At 45.2% G+C, this 18,979-nt stretch overlaps 1 protein-coding gene and 1 non-coding gene across 4 annotated transcripts in view; both read left to right on the top strand.

Annotated features, from left to right (window-relative positions):
* Positions 1–18,979, top strand: part of COLQ (collagen like tail subunit of asymmetric acetylcholinesterase) — a 71,574-nt gene that overhangs the window by 22,412 nt on the left and 30,183 nt on the right. The window contains exons 1-3 of one of the 3 annotated variants that reach the window (NM_080538.2): positions 423–783; positions 9,658–9,770; positions 10,988–11,089. In NM_080538.2, coding sequence (NP_536799.1) covers positions 708–783; positions 9,658–9,770; positions 10,988–11,089 — 291 coding nt within the window. In that variant the 5' untranslated portion in view covers positions 423–707. Of the gene's footprint in view, positions 1–422; positions 784–9,657; positions 9,771–10,987; positions 11,090–18,979 lie in introns of those variants that run through there. The other 2 variants (NM_005677.4, NM_080539.4) reach the window with 2 other exon arrangements.
* MIR4270 (microRNA 4270) lies at positions 2,987–3,056 on the top strand. The gene has a single exon (NR_036232.1). It is a non-coding gene; the product is annotated as a microRNA 4270 (primary transcript).

The following is an 18,979-nucleotide window of genomic DNA, read 5'->3' as shown; positions in this document are numbered from 1 at the left end:
GTCCATGCTTGTGCACTGGGTGTGCCTATAAAGTACCAGATAGATTTAAGCATGTAACTGGTATATGCCGCTTCATCCAAAAAGACTTGCCTACATGCCCTTTGGAAATCTATATATTTTGTTTGTTTGTGGTTTCGTTGTTGTTGTTTTAGTTACGTTTAGCTTTGTCAGCAACACTTTGGCCCAGACAGGATTAGAGCTGAGACCCCTGGCCATGAAGGTCTTCCCTGAAGCAGAGGAGGGCAGGCTCCCCTTGGACGGTCTCGGTGGGGGGTTGACTTTGAGGCTTACCAGAGCAGTCAATACTGCTGTGGTATTTTGAGTCAAGTCGGTTTTTGAGCCAAATGAAAAGCAGCCTGTTTGATTGCTCTCAATTTCCTCTTGGCTTGCAGGGGGATAAGTATCCCTGGGCTCCCAACCTCATATCCTCCCCTGGGCTGAAGGCACTCTTGTCCTCCAAGCCTCCCCTACAGCAGTGTTCATGGGCAGCTGGAGCAGGGCTGCCTACCCATTGCTACTCCCAGGAGCTCAGGACTGGCTCCAGACCCCTGGCATCTGGAGCAGAAGCAACATCAAAGCAGGGATTGGCCAACTCCCACCCCTAATGCCAAACAGGCCAGGCACTGGGAGCACTCAGAGGCGTGACGAATCTCAGCCTGTCTCCGGCTAGTGTTCCCTGGCCAGTCCGCTTTGGGCCCTGCCTCACAATGACGGGCTCATCATTCAGCCTCGCTCATCTGCTCATCATTTCAGGACTGCTCTGTTACTCGGCAGGCTGCTTGGGTGAGTTGTGTGTGCGTGTGTGCACGTGTGTGTGTGTGTGTGGATGCACATGCATTGTTTTGGAAAAAAGACTCTTGGAAAGCAGACTGTACTAGGAGGTTTTAGCAGCCTTTAAATTTTTTTTCTTTTTAAGTTTTTCTTTCACAGGGCTGTTTCTCATTGTGAAAGCCTTTAAATTTTAAACTGCTCAGCCAGTGTTGAAGTTGCAATGCAAAGGGGTTTCACAGTAGAGTTGGTGGGGACCTGGCATACATGCTAACGGGTGTGTGCACTTGTCTGTGTCCCTCTTGTGACCTTGACTGACACAAGTACCTTGTGCTGGCAGCTGGTACCTTGGCTGGCAGCTGGTACCTTGGCTTTGAAGTAAAATCGTGTTCTGTAGTCTGGGCCCCCGCTGGCGTTGGGTGGCTGAGACAGTCTCCATCACTCTTGAGTGGACTGCCTTGGGTAATTTGGCTCAGAGGCACAGCCACCAAACCACAAATTGTTCTTTGTAGGTTGTATCCTTGCCTGCTCAGGGACATACAGCAGAAGGCAAACTCTACCATGTTCTTTCAGAGAAGTTCAAATTACGTGCAACTTTTAGGATCAGAATTTGTCTTTCAAGGTTTGTTGTGGGGATTGAAGGAAAATTGTAGGGTGCAGCCTTCTCTGGAACATGTGAATTGGGGGGAATTTTGGGCAAATTGCATTCAGTTAATGTAAGAACTTTACTGTAGCTGAGACCCAACTCACTACAATAAAGTCAAAGCACTCTGAGCTGCCATACAGCGTGTGCCCTTGGCTTTCTCTCTTCTTTGGGGTCTGTCTCTCTCATGCAAGTTCCCACAGGCAGGGAAAGGCCCCAAAAGAGGAGGAGGAAGTAAAAAGCTGACTAGTCCACCAACTGGACAGGCAGGTGCAGAACAGTTAAATGGCTGCACTTGTAATTCTCTCAACCTGCTGAGGCAGGATGCTTATGTCACTTCTTTCCTTTGACAGTTTCTAATGACACATTTGTTGGATTGAGGGGGTGGGAGGGAAGGCTACTTGATGGAAAAACAGAAGGCAGAAATGGAAATGGCTATTTCCAGTAACCTATTGTGGGGCTGGCCTTGCAAGAGGGTAGATGAAGATGGATACAGTGGTGGTTCTGGTGTCATACTTATTTTAAAAAGGGACTAAAGGAGGCCAGGTGCAGTGGCTCATGCCTGTAATCCCAACACTTTGAGAGGCTGAGGTGGGCGGATCACCTGAGGTCAGGAGTTCAAGACCAGCCTGGCCAACATGACAAAACCCCATCTCTAGTAAAAATACAAAAATTAGCCAGGCATGGTGGCACTCGCCTGTAATCCCAGCTGCTCAGGAGACTGAGGCATGAGAGTGGCTTGAACCCTGGAGGCGGAGGTTGCAGTGGGCTGAGAACCCACCACTGCACTCCAGCCTGGGCAATAGAGTGAGACTTCGTCTCAAAAAAAAAAAAAAAAAAAAAAAAAGGCAAAAGGACTTTGGAGATGATTTGGGCAAAACTCTTTGTGGTACAGATGAGGAAACTAAGTTTCAGATTGAGTAAGTGAGTTGTACTGGCTCACATGGCCACTTGCACCTAGACTTAACACTCTTTAATCAAATCCATGTCTTTCCAAGAGTAAATTGGAGAAAATCGCTTTCCAAAGATGTGCCTCAGTTTCTTGAAATGAAACAAGAGAAAGTCTCCTTTTCAAGAATGGGTATTGAGTCCAAAGGGCAAAACCAGCATCATCGACAACAAAAGCTTCAAACACTTGCCAAAGCCTGCATTAAACAATTACCCATAATTTGGCAATGCACTGGCCACATACAACATGAGCTTGATGTCTTTAAGTTGGGACATGCGGTCCTGAAGTTCCGTGATGGTTGGCATTTCCAAGGCAGCTGCCTGGTGCTGAGCCACGTGCTGCTCCCAGGTTTCTGCAGGCTCCACGGAGATACGCACAGGATTGCTTTCAATACAACAGAGCCTTCCGGGGCTTTTCCAGACTGGAGCCTGAGCTCAGACACAATTCTATAGAGACAGTCCATGAGAAAGACCCACAGGCCACTCGGATGACACCAAAATAGACATGTGAAGTCCTGGCTTAGTTGACTGGGAGGGAGGAGGGAGGGGGAAGCTGCTCCCAAACACGTCCACCTGATGGAAATATTCTGAACAGGAATGAGCTGTAAATAAACTAGGCTCCTAAAAACAAATAGCTTCAGGGAGTCAGGGGAGGGCAGAAATAGATGGCCTTCCCCTGCTGGGAAGAAAGTGGGTCAAGGGGGAAAGGGTGAGGGGGATGGGGTGGGGGAGCCGAACAATGCAGAAGCCTCAGCCAGAAATGCAGCTGATAATTTGTGGTCACTGAAGAGGTCTCCAATTTCCAGGAAGAAAGGAGAGAAGTGATTGCTTTAAATGATACAAGGTCCTTCATCAGTGGAAGGCCACACAGGGTGCTGGGTGAAGGAAGGCACTGGAGGCCATATATGGTCTGGAAAAATAATGGTGATGAGTGCATATTAGCAGTGTGGGCCTGCCAGCCTCCCAGGTGCTTTTGGAACACTGCAGCCTCAGCCCTTAGCTGTGTGCTGAGGCAAAAGAGAAGCAAAGGAGAAACTGTAGCCAGGGGACCTTAAAAACGTTCCGGGATTGGTGTGAACCTGCCAGCCTCCTCCACCCTACAACTGAAGCTGCCCACTCCTAGCGACTCAACACTCTAGGAAACTTGGAGAAGCTTGAGGAGGAATACATTGGCATTAATGTCAAGTTCGGGAACAATGTATCCATATTATTTTACCACTGAGAAAAGTAGCCCGTGACAGCTGGAGCTGCCCTGACTCTCAGAGCTCGGCATGGTGTTTTGCAACACAGAAGCGATGTCACAGAACACCAACTTCAGACAGGGTCACCCTGTGACCTTGATGGATTGAGAAGAAAGTAAGAATCACTTGATAATCACAACTGAACACAGACGAAAACAGGACTATCATCCAACCACAAAAGTAACTAAACATTCTCCTATCCTTGCTAATATGAGTGATTGCTGCTGTTTAAAAAACCAATCACAGCTTTGGTCTTGCTCCACTCTCTTCTAGATATGAATTAAGGTACTCAATTATAGAATGGCCCTTTCTTCCTGATGGCATCCAATTCAGAGTGAAGCCAGACTTCATTTCCTCAGTCTCCCCTCCATCACTTAGCAAAATCCCCAACCCTAGGATCAGTCCTTCCCAGCATCCTCTAACTGAGATGCCCCACGGTTCCTTCCGGTGTGTGTTCTCCCTCTTTGCAGTGAGTCAATAAACCCAGCTTGGTTCCCTGAAGCCTTTGCTTGGAGGGCACTGATGCTATAGCCCCAAGTTGTTGTTATGGGACTTGAAGCTCCAGACCTTCATTTCTACCACATGCAGTCATGGTGTAGAGCTCAAGAGGAAGGGCTCCGGAACCAGACTGCCTGGCTCTGTCACTTACTAGCTATATGACTTCGGACAAATTGCTTAACCTCTTTGCCTCAGTTAATGGATCTGTAAAATGGAGATGATGATAACAAGAGTAGTACCTAGCTCTTAGGGTTGCTGTGAGGATTAGGTGAATTTCTATGTGTGAATCACTTAAATGGTGCCTTGCATGTGGTGTTTGTCATTATTAATTCAGCAAACGTTTGTGGAGTGTCTAGCATATGCCAGATACAGTGCTAGACCCTGGGGATAAAAGCTGGCTCCTGCTCTCCCAGAAAGCACAGTTTGGTCAGAGGGATACAAGGAAATAGTTTTTCCCCATGGAGGAAACCTAACATAGGGGTAAACCCAGAGAAAAACAGCAGGGCCACTCAATCTTGCCTGGGAAGTCAAGGAAAGCTTCCTGGTGGAGACGGCATCTAGTGGAGGCTGCTTGTGGGAGGGCAGGGAGTGGGGTACAAGCAGAAGGCCTCTGAGCTCTGCAAGCCTTTCCAACTACAGATGCCATTTAGGTACTTTCTGCTTCCCACAGGCCTGGCCCAGTGCCTGGCAAAGAGTGTGCTCAAATGAATAAATGTCTAACACCCATAAACTAGTGCCTGCTGTGACTTTTCTTTCTCAAACTCTGACCACTGTTGCCCTGGGTACCCTGCAACTTCAAAACCACCCTTGATTCTTCCTGCTTCTTCCCTCCTGCAACATGTTGGCCCCGTTTCTCTGCATCAGTCCCTCCCTTCCTGTCCCGTGCCCTGCTGCATGCTCCCATTCTCCAAGCCTGTCCTCCCCACACCTGCACCTTCCTTGCACACAGTGTTCTCCAGCACCATTTTGATCCTGTCACTCCTTTACCCTGCACCTGCCGTGGTTTCCTACGACTTTCCAATTAAAGCCTAAACCCTTTTGTGGGGTATCCAAAACAGCACAATCTAGCCCCAAATTAACTTTCCAGCTTTCCCTGCATCCTGACCCCAACAGTCACTATTCCTTTAAGATAAGAGCTTCCTCTTCAGTGCAATGGCACAATCTCGGCTCACTGAAACCTCTGCCTCCCAAGTTCAAGCAATTCTCCTGCCTCAGCCTCCCAAGTAGCTGGGATTACAAGCATGTGCCACCACGGCCAGCAAATTTTTGTGTTTTTAGTAGACACGGGGTTTCGCCATTTGGTCAGGCTGGTCTTGAACTCCTGACCTCAAGTGATCTGCCCACCTCAGCCTCCCAAAGTGTTGGGATTACAGGCGTGAGCCACCACGCCTAGCCTGTTTGACATATTTTGGAGTGCCTGTCTGCCTGGCCTTCCTCAGGAGAAACTCCTCCCACAGCCTCTGTTGAGCTGGTGACAGACCCTGAGATCCTGCTAAAGACTGGGTCTGAGTCTGGTCCAGGGCAGGCTCTGCTTAGCTGCCCCCATGACCTGTCACCTGGCTGGGCAAACAGATTCCCTGTGGTGGCTATTTGAACTAAGACCCACAAGGGGATGTTCCAGACAAAGCAGATGGGGGAGGTAAAAGAGGTGAGGCAAGACTGGGTCAGCCGTCATGGAGAGATGGGCGTGAAGACGCCAAAGAGGATGGAATGGATCAGATGCACAGAAAGAAGCATAAAAGGGGAGATGGGGGACAGGGGATCGAGGAAGGTGAGAGAAATACCAGGACAGTGTCATGTCCCATTGACTCATTGGCTCCAGCTCTTTCTGACAGTTGTTAACTTTACAATAAATCTCCTTTTTCCCCAGAGCCCATGTGAGTGAAGCTCTGCTTCTCACAATCCAAGTAGCCCTGAATGGAACATGGGTCTTTCTCCTGCCATTCCTCCCGCTCCCTGGGGAGCCTCCCCTCCTTCCATCAGCCACCTCCCCAGCTAGCCCTTCAAGGCCTAGCTCAAGTATGCATGACTTCCCCAGATATTTTCGTGGTCTGGAAGTCTTCCTGTCTAAATTCTCCTTGCTTTTCCAGAATTAGCATGAATGCCCTCTTTCCCAAAAGACAGCTAGGTTTATCCCAGCTGGTGGCCACCTGTTGTTCCTGTTTTTCTGAATTCCTTCAGTCCCTCGTTAACTTGTATGACCTGGAGTGGATGCTGCTTTGGCGTTGAGTGCTGGGTTCTATGGAACTTTTTGTGACCAAGCTAAGCACCAAGCATTGGATAGGCCAACAGTTTTCACTGGGGCCATTTTGGAAATTTTCAAGGTATTTTTGGTTGTTTCAAAGGCTGGGATGGGTAGCATCACTGTCTGTTGAGCCGGGTCAGGAGTGAGAGCTGTCTTGCAAAGGGTGGGATAGAATTGTCCCACATCCTCCATGACTTTGAAATGTCCCAAGGAACATTCGTACTTATATATAATTATCTCATTCTAGAACTGAATTCTCTTTTACACAGCATTTTTTTTTTTTTTGAGACGGAGTCTCGCTCTGTCGCTCAGGCTGGAGTGCAGTGGCGCGATCTCGGCTCACTGCAAGCTCCGCCTCCCGGGTTCACGCCATTCTCCCACCTCAGCCTCCCAAGTAGGTGGGACTACAGGCGCCCACCACTACGCCCGGCTAATTTTTTTGTATTTTTAGTAGAGACGGGGTTTCACTATGTTAGCCAGGATGGTCTCGATCTCCTGACCTCGTGACCCACCCACCTTGGCCTCCCAAAGTGCTGGGATTAAAGGCATGAGCCACTGTGCCCGGCCTTATGCAGCATTTTTAAAGCACTGTTATAATATAAATTGAGTTTTCTAAGACTACAATTATGGAGTAATGGTTGTGCTTTATCTAGTCGGGAATTTTACCCAGTGTTGTTTATTATTTCAGAAAATCACATCACATGGTGGACACATTCCTTGTAGCATGAGACTTGCCAATACCATAATCTTTATTTGAGCTGTTGCATTCACTGTGATTTCATGTAAGTGTGAGCATCAAACCACAGCATTATGTATTCTAATATGGTTATGTCTGACCACTTATAATCAAAATGTTTACTTTTGTATCATAAATCACTTTCTTTTTTTTTTTTTTGAGATGGAGTCTCACTCTGTTGCCAGGTTGGAGTGCAGTGGCACAATCTCAGCTCACTGCAACCTCCATCTCCCAGGTTCAAGCAATTCTTCTGCCTCAGCCTCCTGAGTAGCTAGGACTACAGGTGCATGCCACCGTGCCCAGCTAATTTTTGTATTTTTAGTAGAGATGGGGTTTCACCATGTTGGCCAGGATGGTCTCGATCTCTTGACCTCGTGATCTGCCCACCTTGGCCTCCCAAAGTGCTGGGATTACAGGCATGAGCCACCATGCCTGGCCCATAAATCACTTTCTTGTATTTCTCTTTTATGTAGAATTAAGAGCACTGTATTGATTTTTTAAATTGTCTGTCAGCGTGCTGTACTATTTGTGAATTTCATTTCCGGATAATAAAGGTGTCTTTATAAAATATTTCCCGTAAAAGGTCGCTTTAGGCCTGAGAGGGCTGAGGGTCTTTGGCACAGGCCAGTGGAATGCTCCATCATCAAGGGTGCGAGCGAGTGTGTGTGCACGGAGCTACCATTCCCGTGGACACCGCACGACCTGGCGACTTCTGGGGAGCACTTAGCACTTGTCTAGTGTCTGAGGCAGGTCCTGGAGCACAAGGTGGAGATGGTCGGCAGATGCTGGCCCCTGGGAGATAAGACAGAAAACTGGGTTCAAGGTTGAGAGCCTGTGGTGGTCAATGTGGCGTGCATGTTCTGTGAGGTCAGAGGTTTCGTGAAGGGGTGGAAGTGAAGGTACATCGTGACACCAAAACTGAGAACTGAAAAACCATAGCTTTGGGTGATTATGGATATTGCTGCTATGAACATTTTAATACATGCATTTTGGTGAAAACACACCCACTTTTCTTTTTTTTTCTTCTTTTTTTTAGGGCCATTTCAAGAGAAATTTTTACTTTTTGGTATAAAAATAAAACTATAACCATTCAAGCTGGCTCTTAACTAAAACGTTTATCTTGAAAAATTTGCAATAACCCCCACTGGATTCATTAGGTAGGGACACAAATCAGGGCTTTCTCAGTGCAAACACCAGAGAACATATATATGGTCCTGGCCAATGCCCATCATTCAGAGATGCCGGGGAGGAGATTCAAGCTTGGAGTCAGAACCTGAAACTTTAAAGATCACTTGCAATCATGATTCTGAATGCACCCACTTTTCTATTGGTAAAAACCTAGGAGTGAAATTGCTGGGCTAGAGTATATGTCTATGTTCAGCTTTAATAGAAGATAACAAGCAATTTTCCAAAGAGGTTGGATCAATTTACATTCTGGCCAGCTAATGTGTGATAGTTGTGGTTGTTCCACATCCTTGCCACATTTCTTATATTCTGTCCTTTTTGCTTTAGCCATTCTGGTGGATGTGTAGTGGTATCAACCCAATGAACATCAGCGATGTTCAGCAGAATGGATGAGTAGGTTGTGATATAGTCACTCAGTGGGACACTATTCAGCAGTAACAATGATAAACAGCAACCTAGATGATTTCCATAGACACTATGTTAAAAGAGAGAAGCCAAAGACAAGAGTTCATATTGTATGATTCCATTTACATAAAGTGCAAAATTAGTCAAAATGAATCTCTGGTGTTAGAATTCAGGATGGGAAGGGGTGCAGAGATTGGAGCTTGAAGGAGCTTCTGGGCACTGGGGAATGCTGTTTCTTGACCTGGGTGCTGGTTTCTAGGATACGTCCACCTTATGGAGATCTGTTGAACTGTAACTTATTGATCTGTGTACTTTTTGTAAGGCATACTTCAACATTGAACATTTACTAACATTGAACATGGGTGAGACTTTTTGTAAAAATAAAGCTACAAAGGTTCAGGGCCCTCCCTTTATTTCCTGATACTGCAGATTAGGCTACCCATATATTGAGACATTAAACCGTAACTCTCCAGTGAAATGAGTGACACGTGAATGTGTTTGTAAAGTCTAGAGTCAATGTATGTGTTTTAAATCATGGGTCTGGGTGTCCTGTAAGTAATGCTACCACTGGCCCTGGCTGCCTCCCTGTCTAAACAATTTCCTTCTGAGTACAATATTAAAGTTATTAGCAAGCACTTTCTTCTCCTCAACTACTGGGGGCATATGATGAAATCTGTTTGAACTTTGCATTTCCTGCTACATCTACAAAGTGACAAGTCAGTATCTGAGGAAGGAGAATTGAACCTTATAATGGTCAGTGTCCAGACAAGTCATCTGCTTCTTTATGAACCATCTTAATCTAGCAAAGGCAAGGGCAAGGGAATAATTGCTATGTCAAGTAGCCAACAGGAGGCCTATCCACATCTAACAGGCTAGAAATTAGATGTGGAAGTCTGGGGTGGCAGGATGGGTCTTCCCTGGGCACGGTGGGTGTGACAGAGGCCCAGCACTGACCACATGCTAACGAGCGGCAGTTTTCTCTGAACAGCCCTTCCCAGCCTGGATCAGAAGAAGCGTGGTGGCCACAAAGCATGCTGCCTGCTGACGCCTCCTCCACCACCACTGTTCCCACCACCATTCTTCAGAGGTGGCCGAAGTCCGGTGAGTACTTTGGGATTTATGAGAGGAAAAAAAGTGCAGGCTACTCAGTGCACACCACGCAGCCCCACCTGCCTGCCCCACTCCACCTGAGCTGCCTCCGGAATCTTTTCTGAGAGCCTCAACCCTCCACTGTCACCCAGAAGTTGAGCCCCGGAATGGACATTTTGCAGTTCCTGGGGTGTGTCCATTCTCCAAATATCTTAAATAAATGATGGAGGGAGATTCTTCTTAGCAGGAATTGGATTTGGCAAAGTTTCTCATCTTCTCAAAAACCATGAGGTGAATTTATAATATAACTTCCTGGGTTCCCATCAGCTGCTCAAACATGGAATTTCCCCTTCTGTTTTTCTTCTCCCCAAGTGTTTATGAAATTCCCTTCTGCAGCCCGTGTCTAACACAGACCGTTTCCATGAGGTGACTCAGGAAATAGTTCTCCCGTAGCCACACTGAGGTGTGAGAGGGAGCAGAATTTGGAAAGAAAGGACCAGGTGAGGAAAAGAGCAAGATTAGGGAAACTGGCCTAGAAGACAACAGCCAGGGCATTCTGGGGACTTGGGATTCTCAGCTCTTTCCCAACGCTCTGTCTCCTGAGCTGTCCAATTCAGGAGCCACTAGCCATATGTAGCTATCTGGCACTTGCAATGTGGCTAGTTCAAGTTGAGGTGTGCTGTAAGTGTAAAATACATACTGGATTTCGAAAGAAGTAGTATGAGAAAAGAATGTAAACTATCTCATTAGTTAACTTTCCAATACTGAATATATGTTAAAATGATAATATTTGAGTTTTGTTGGGTTAAAGAAAGTATATTATTAAAATTAATTTGACTTTTTTCTTTTTACCTTCTTGAAAGGTAAAAAAGTGACTACTAGACAATTTAAAATTACAGTGTTGCTCTTATTGGTGCCTCACGTTAGTTATGTTTCCATTGGACAGTGCTAACCTACACATTGGATAGAGGCCCCTGAAATGAGCTTCCAAACTCTATCCAAAGTGGCTACGAGGTGTCTGTAATCCATACAAGCCAGGTTCGTCTCAAGAGCAGATGAGAGAACAGAAACTGGTAGCCCAAGGTGTCATCTTCTTGGGGCAGTCATTGGGGTGTCAGGGAACTGCCAGGCTTAGAGACCTGATCCCGGAGCAGGTCTGTGTCCAGGATGGTGACCCTTCCTCTGTCCCCTACGCCTGACCTCTAACTCTGTGTTGCTTTGTACTGAAGCTTCTCTCCCCAGACATGAAGAATCTCATGCTGGAACTGGAGACCTCGCAGTCCCCGTGCATGCAAGGCTCGCTAGGCTCCCCTGGGCCTCCCGGCCCCCAGGTTGGTGCACTCTACCGGACCCCTCTCGCTGTCTTCTGTTTAGAGCAGGAAAGCCCACTGCACAGAGCCTCTTAGTGTCTGCTCTTTCTCATGTGATACAAAGCTGTTTTTCCTTCTCTCGCTTACTTCCTGCTCCAAAGCCACTTGGATAGAACACTGACTCTTTGCTAGGTAAATTCTGGCCTCCCATCCTTGATTTCCTCATCTATGCAATGGGGATAATAATTGTCCCTACAATACTGAATTTTGGGGGAATCAAATGAGGATGCCACCTCTATGGATATGGTTTTTATTACAGTTACAATCAGACAAACACTTGATGACAGTGCCCCTTATGTAACCATTGACCCCTCCTGTGGACCCAGAGGTGCCTGCGTTCAGCACAGGAAAGTGGAGGTGCAGAGGAGATGGTTTCCTGCCTCACTGGGCCCCCAGGTATTGCTACCAAGCAGCCCACCCCTCCCCACCAAAGCTAAAGGGGAAACAGTCAAAATGCTGCAGAAAGGATTTCTAGACAAACAAGAGTACCCTCCAGAGACCCCACCCCACAGAGTCCTGGCCCCTCTGGCCTGCCTCCAAGAGGGTGCTCCATCGGTGAGGGACAGCTGGGTCTGAGCCTTCCATGGGGAGGAGAAAGAGGGTGTAAGGAGCAGTTAGTTCCCAAGTGCCTTCCCATGCAGGGGGCGTAAAAATGACATCACCCACCTGGGTAAACACTCCTGTGGCTTCTGGACACTTGAAGGCTCACCTGGATTACAAAGCCCCACAAGAGGGGACTCCGGCCTGTATCTCCTACATCACCTCATACCACCTCCATTGTCTCGTTGACTCAGCCACAGTGACCATCTCTCGGGTTCTCAAACACTCCAAGCTTGCTTTAGCCACAGGGCCTTTGCACTTGTGGTTCCTGCTGTTTGGAATGTTCTTTCTGGTTTGTATCATGGCCAGCTCCTGTTGGCCACTCAGGACTCAGCTTCTATGCCACCTCCTTAGAAATGCCTTCTTCTACCACCCACTCAACCACTTAAAGTAGTCTCCTGCCCACACGACCACCACAATCACTCTCTGCCACAATGACCTACTTTAATTCTCTGCATGATTTTTTCATCCTGTTACAGTTTTCTTATCTGTTCTTCTGTTCCTGGTCTCCCCTCTGTAAAACGTAAGCTCAATGGCAGGGGTTGGCAAACTATATCTGTGGATCAAATCCTGCGGCAAAGTTTCAATAAAACATCGAAGTTTTATTGTCTGTGGCTGCTTTTTCACGACAAAGGCAGAGTTGAGTAGTTGTGACAGAGACCAAATGTGGCCCACAAAGCCTAAGATATTGACAATGTAGCCTTCTAAAGAAAACCTGTATCAAACCTTGGTCTGTGGGAACAGAGACATTGTCCATCTCACTCACTATTATATTCCCTGTCTACAACAGTGCACGGGGTTGGTATAGGTTCTCCGTAATTACTTGTTGGATACAAGAAAGAAAACAGGACTTTGAACCCAGAGTTGGCCAGAGGCTGCCACAGAAAAGCTTGGAAGCCTGCAGAAAAGCAAGATGAGAATCCTCGGAGGTGCATTTCTATCTTCCCACCTTCAGCAGTCTACACTAACAGGTCTCAGGCATGCTAGAACCCATGGAATATAGAAAAGAAAAGGGGGATTTTCTGCTGACCTCAGGACAGTGGCTCTCTGGTCACACACATCTCTAACCTCGTGCAATCCCCTTTGAAGCATGTGGAGGCTGTGTTGCCCAAATGCAGGGTCCTGTGTAGCCACCTTCATGTCCTTAGAACACAATGTGGATGCTGTCCCTACTCAAAGTGAGGTCTGTGAACCAGCAACATTGGTATCATATGGGAGCTGGTTAGAAATGCAGAATGTCATCCCCCTGACAAATTCATTCTATCAGAATCTGCATTCTAACAAGATACCACCCCTCCACCAAGTGAACGGAGTGGGTCATCTGCACATTAAAGTTGGAGAGGCACTGAGCTAGAGCACAATGACCTTGTGAAATAGTTCTAGTCCACTTCAAGAAACAGAAAGAACTAAGGCTTGGAAGAATCAAGAGATTGGAATGAAAACCCTCCTCTTCCCTATCCAAAAATAGAAGGTGAATAAACCAAAGATACTGGTTCTCAAACTTATCTACACATTACGATTCCCTGGGGGAGCTCCAAAAATTACTGATGCTTGTTCCTCCTCCCCTGAGATTGCTATTTATTATTATTATCATTATTATTATTGGGAAGAGAGTCTCACTGTGCCACCTAGGTTAGAGTGCAGTGGCTTGATCGCAGCTAACTGCAGCCTTCACTTCCCAGGCTTAAGTGAGCCTCCTACATCAGCCTCCCACAGGAGGGTGGGACCACAGGTGCACATACCATCATGCCTGGCTAATTTCTTAATATTTTGTAGAGACAGGGTCTCAACACATTGACCAGGTTGGTCTCAAACTCCTGGGCTCAAGCAATACTCCCACATTGGCCTCCCAAAGTGCTGAGATTATAGGCATAAGCCACCCCACCCAGCCTGAGGTTGTTATTTAATTGGGCTGGGTTGGGGCCTGGGCTTTGGGATTTTTCAAACATCTCCAGAGAATTGTAATGTGCTGATAGACTTGGGAACCACAGGCTGAGGGGAGCTGTTGTTATTTGGATAAGTTTTGCAGAAATCATATTTCAGGGAGGGAGGTTCCAAGACAGCCGAATAGGAAGAGCTCCAGTCTATAGCCCTCAGTGTGAGCGATGCAGAAGACGGTTGATTTCTGCATTTCTAACTGAGCTGTGAAGAGAGTAGTGGTTCTCCCAGCACAGAGTTTGAGATCTGAGAATGGACAGACTGCCTCCTCAAGTGGGACCCTGACCCCCAAGTAGCCTAACTGGGAGACACCTCCCAGTAGGGGCCGACTGACACCTCATACAGCTGGGTGCCCCTCTGAGATGAAGCTTCCAGAGGAAGGCTCAGGCAGCAACATTTGCTCTTCTGCAATATTTGCTGTTCTGCAGCCTCCACTGGTGATACCCAGGCAAACAGGGTCTGGAGTGGACCTCCAGCAAACTCCAACAGACCTGCAGCAGAGGGTCCTGACTGTTAGAAGGAAAACTAACAAACAGAAAGGACATCTACACCAAAATCCCATCTGTACATCACCATCATCAAAGACCAAAGGTAGATAAAACCACAAAGATGGAGAGAAACCAGAGCAGAAAAGCTGAACATTCTAAAAATCAGAGTGCCTCTTCTCCTCCAAAGGAGTGCAGCTCCTCACCAGCAATGGAACAAAGCTGGACAGAGAATGACTTTGATGAGTTGAGAGAAGAAGGCTTCAGACGATCGGTAATAACAAACTTCTCCGAGCTAAAGAAGCTAAAACCTTGAAAAAAGATTAGATGAATGGCTAACTAGAATAAACAGTGTAGAGAAGACCTTAAATGACCTGTTGGAGCTGAAAACCACAGCACGAGAACTACACAACACATGCACAAGCTTCAGTAGCCAATTCAATCATGTGGAAGAAAGGGTATCAGTGATTGAAGATCAAATGAATGAAATGAAGCGAGAAGAGAAGTTTAGAGAAAAAAGAGTAAGAAGAAATGAACAAAGCCTCCAAGAAATATGGGACTATGTGAAAAGACCAAATCTACGTCTGATTGGTGTACCTGAAAGTGACGGGGAGAATGGAATCAAGTTGGAAAACACTCTTCAGGATATTATCCAGGAGTACTTCCCCAACCTAGCAAGGCAGGCCAACATTCAAATTGAGGAAATACAGAGAACGCCACAAAGATACTCCTCAAGAAGAGCCTGCCTTTCAAGAGTTCCTGAAGGAAGCACTAAACATGGAAAGGAACAACTGGTACCAGCCACCACAAAATCATACCAAACGGTAAAGACCATCAACACCATGAAGAAACTGCATCAACTAATGAGCAAAATAACAAGCTAACATCATAATGACAGGATCAAATTCACACATAACAATATTAACCTTAAATGTAAATGGGTAAATGCTCCAGTTAAAAAACACAGACTGGCAAATTGGATAGAGTCAAGACCCATCAGTGTGCTGTATTCAGGAGACCCATCTCACGTGCAGAGACACACATAGGCTCAAGATAAAGGGATGGAGGAAAATCTACCAAGCAAATGGAAAACAAAAAAAAAGCACGGCTTGCAATCCTAGTCTCTGATAAAACAGACTTTAAACCAACAAAGATCAAAAGAGACAAAGAAGGCCATTACATAATGGTAAAGGGATGAATTCAATAAGAAGAGCTAACTATCCTAAATATATATGCACCCAATACAGGAGCACCCAGATTCATAAAGCAGGTCCTTAGAGACCTACAAAGAGACTTAGACTCCCACCCAATAATAATGGGAGACTTCAACACCCCACTGTCAACATTAGACAGATCAATGAGACAGAAAGTTAACAAGGATATCCAGGACTTGAACTCAGCTCTGCACCAAGCAGACCTAACAGACATCTACAGAACTCTCCACCCCAAGTCAACAGAATATACATTCTTCTCACCACCACATCACACTTATTCCAAAACTGACCACATAGTTGGAAGTAAAGCACTCGTCAGCAAATGTAAAAGAACAGAAATTATAACAAACTGTCTCTCAGACCACAGTGCAATCAAACTAGAACTCAGGATTAAGAAACTCACTCAAAACCACTCAACTACATAGAAACTGAACAACCTGCTCCTGAATGACTACTGGGTACATAATGAAATGAAGGCAGAAATAAAAATGTTCTTTGAAACCCATGAGAACAGAGACACAACATACCAGAATCTCTGGGACACATTTAAAGCAGTGTGTAGGGGGAAATTTATAGCACTAAATGCCCACAAGAGAAAGCAGGAAAGATCTAAAATAGACACCCTAACATCACAATTAAAAGAACTAGAGAAGCAAGAGCAAACACATTCAAAAGCTAGCAGAAGGCAAGAAATAACTAAGATCAGAGCAGAACTGATGGAGATAGAGACACGAAAAAACCCTTCAAAAAAATCAATGAATCCAGGAGCTGGTTTTTTGAAAAGATCAATAAAATTAATAGACCGCTAGCAAGACTAATAAAGAAGAAAAGAGAGAAGAATCAAATAGACGCAATAAAAAATGATAAAGGGGATATAACTACTGATCCCACAGAAATACAAACTACCATAAGAAAACACTATAAACACCTCTACACAAATAAACTAGAAAATCTAGAAGAAATGGATAAATTCCTGGACACATACACCCTCCCAAGACTAAACCAGGAAGAAGCTGAATCCCTGAATTGACCAATAACAGGCTCTGAAATTGAGGCAATAATTAATAGCCTACCAACCAAAAAAAGTCCAGGACCAGACGGATTCATAGCCAAATTCTACCAGAGGTACAAGGAGGAGCTGGTACCATTCTTTCTGAAACGATTCCAATCAACAGAAAAAGAGGGAATCCTCCCTAACTCATTTTATGAGGCCAGCATCATCCTGATACCAAAGCCTGGCAGAGACACAACAAGAAAAGAGAATTTTAAATCAATATCCCTGATGAACATTGATGCAAAAATCCTCAATAAAATACTGGCAAACCAAATCCAGCAGCACATCAAAAAGCTTATCCACCATGATCAAGTGGGCTTCATCCCTGGGATGCAAGGCTGGTTCGACATATGCAAATCAATAAATGTAATCCAGCATATAAACAGAACCAAAGACAAAAACCACATAATTATCTCAATAGATTCAGGAAAGGCCTTTGACAAAATTCAACAGCCCTTCATGCTAAAAACTCTCAATAAACTAGGTATTGATGGGACGTATCTCAAAATAATAAGAGCTATTTATGACAAACCCGTAGCCAATATCATACTGAATGGGCAAAACCTGGAAGCATTCCCTTTGAAAACTGGCACAAGACAGGGATGCCCTCTCTCACCACTCCTATCACAGTGTTGGAAGTTCTGGCCAGGGCAATCAGGCAGGAGAAAGAAATAAAGGGTATTCAATTAGGAAAAGAGGAAGTCAAGTTGTCCCTGTTTGCAGATGACATGATTGTATATTTAGAAAACCCCATCATCTCAGCCCAAAATCTCCTTAAGCTGATAAGCAACTTCAGCAAATCTCAGGATACAAAATCAATGTGCAAAAATCACAAGCATTCCTATACACCAATAACAGACAAACAGAGAGGCAAATCATGAGTGAGCTCCCATTCACAATTGCTTCAAAGAGAATAAAATACCTAGGAATCAAACTTACAAGGGATGTGAAGGACCTCTTCAAGGAGAACTGCAAACCACTGCTCAATGAAATGAAAGAGAACAGAAACAAATGGAAGAACATTCCATGCTCATGGATAGGAAGAATCAATATTGTGAAAATGGCCATACTGCCCAAGGTAATTTATAGATTCAGTGCCATCCCCATCAAGCTACCAATGACTTTCTTCACAGAATTGGAAAAAACTACTTTAAACTTCATATGGAACCAAAAAAGAGACCACATTGCCAAGACAATCTTAAGCCAAAAGAAGAAAGCTGGAGGCATCACACTACCTGACTTCAAACTATACTACAAGGCTACAGTAACCAAGACAGCATGGTACTGGCACCAAAACAGAGATATAGACCAATGGAATAGAACAGAGCCCTCAGAAATAATACCACACATCTACAACCATCTGGTCTTTGACAAACCTGACAAAAGCAAGAAATGGGGAAAGGATTCCCTGTTTAATAAATGGTGCTGGGAAAACTGGCTAGCCATATGTAGAAAGCTGAAACTGGATCCCTTCCTTACACCTTATACAAGATTAATACCTTATTAATTCAAGATGGATTAAATACTTAAATGTTAGACCTAAAACCATAAAAACCCTAGAAGAAAACCTAGGCAATACCATTCAGGACATAGGCATGGGCAAAGACTTCATGACTAAAACACCAAAAGCAATGGCAGCAAAAGCCAAAATAGACAAATAGGATCTAATTAAACTAAAGAGCTTCTGCACAGCAAAAGAAACTACCATCAGAGTGAACAGGCAACCTACAGAATGGGAGAAAATTTTTACAATCTACCCATCTGACAAAGGGCTAATATCCAAAATCTACAAAGGGCTAATATCCAAAATCTACAAAGAACTTAAGCAAATTTACAAGAAAAAATCAAACAACCCCATCAAAAAGTGGGTGAAGTGTATGAACAGACACTTCTCAAAAGAAGACATTTATGCAGCCAAGAGACACATGAAAAAATGTTCATTATCACTGGCCATCACAGAAATGCAAATCAAAACCACAATGAGATATCTCACACCAGTTAGAATGGCGATCATTAAAAAGTCAGGAAACAACAGGTGCTGGAGAGGATGTGGAGAAATAGGAACACTTTTACACTGTTGGTGGGATTGTAAACTAGTTCAACCATTGTGGAAGACAGTATGGTGATTCCTCAAGGATCTAGAACTAGAAACACCATTTGACCCAGCCATCCCATTACTGGGTATATACCCAAAGGATTGTAAATCGTGCTGCTATAAAGACACATGCCCACGTATGTTTATTGGGGCACTATTCACAATAGCAAAGACTTGGAACCAACCCAAATGTCCATCAATGATAGACTGGATTAAGAAAATGTGGCACATATACACCATGGAATACTATGCAGCCATAAAAAAGGATGAGTTTATGTCCTTTGTAGGGACATGGATGAAGCTGGAAACCATCATTCTGAGCAAACTATCGCAAGGACAGAAAACCAAACACCGCATGTTCTCACTCATAGGTGGGAATTGAACAATGAGAACACCTGGACACAGGGTGGGGAACATCACATACCAGGGCCTGTCGTGGGGTGGGGGGAGTGGGGAGGGATAGCA

Source organism: Homo sapiens, chromosome 3 (genome assembly GCF_000001405.40).
Source record: "Homo sapiens chromosome 3, GRCh38.p14 Primary Assembly".
Taxonomy (NCBI): domain Eukaryota; kingdom Metazoa; phylum Chordata; class Mammalia; order Primates; family Hominidae; genus Homo; species Homo sapiens.
The sequence above is the reverse complement of the archived record's forward strand: the minus strand, read 5'-3'. Positions and strand labels throughout refer to the sequence as shown.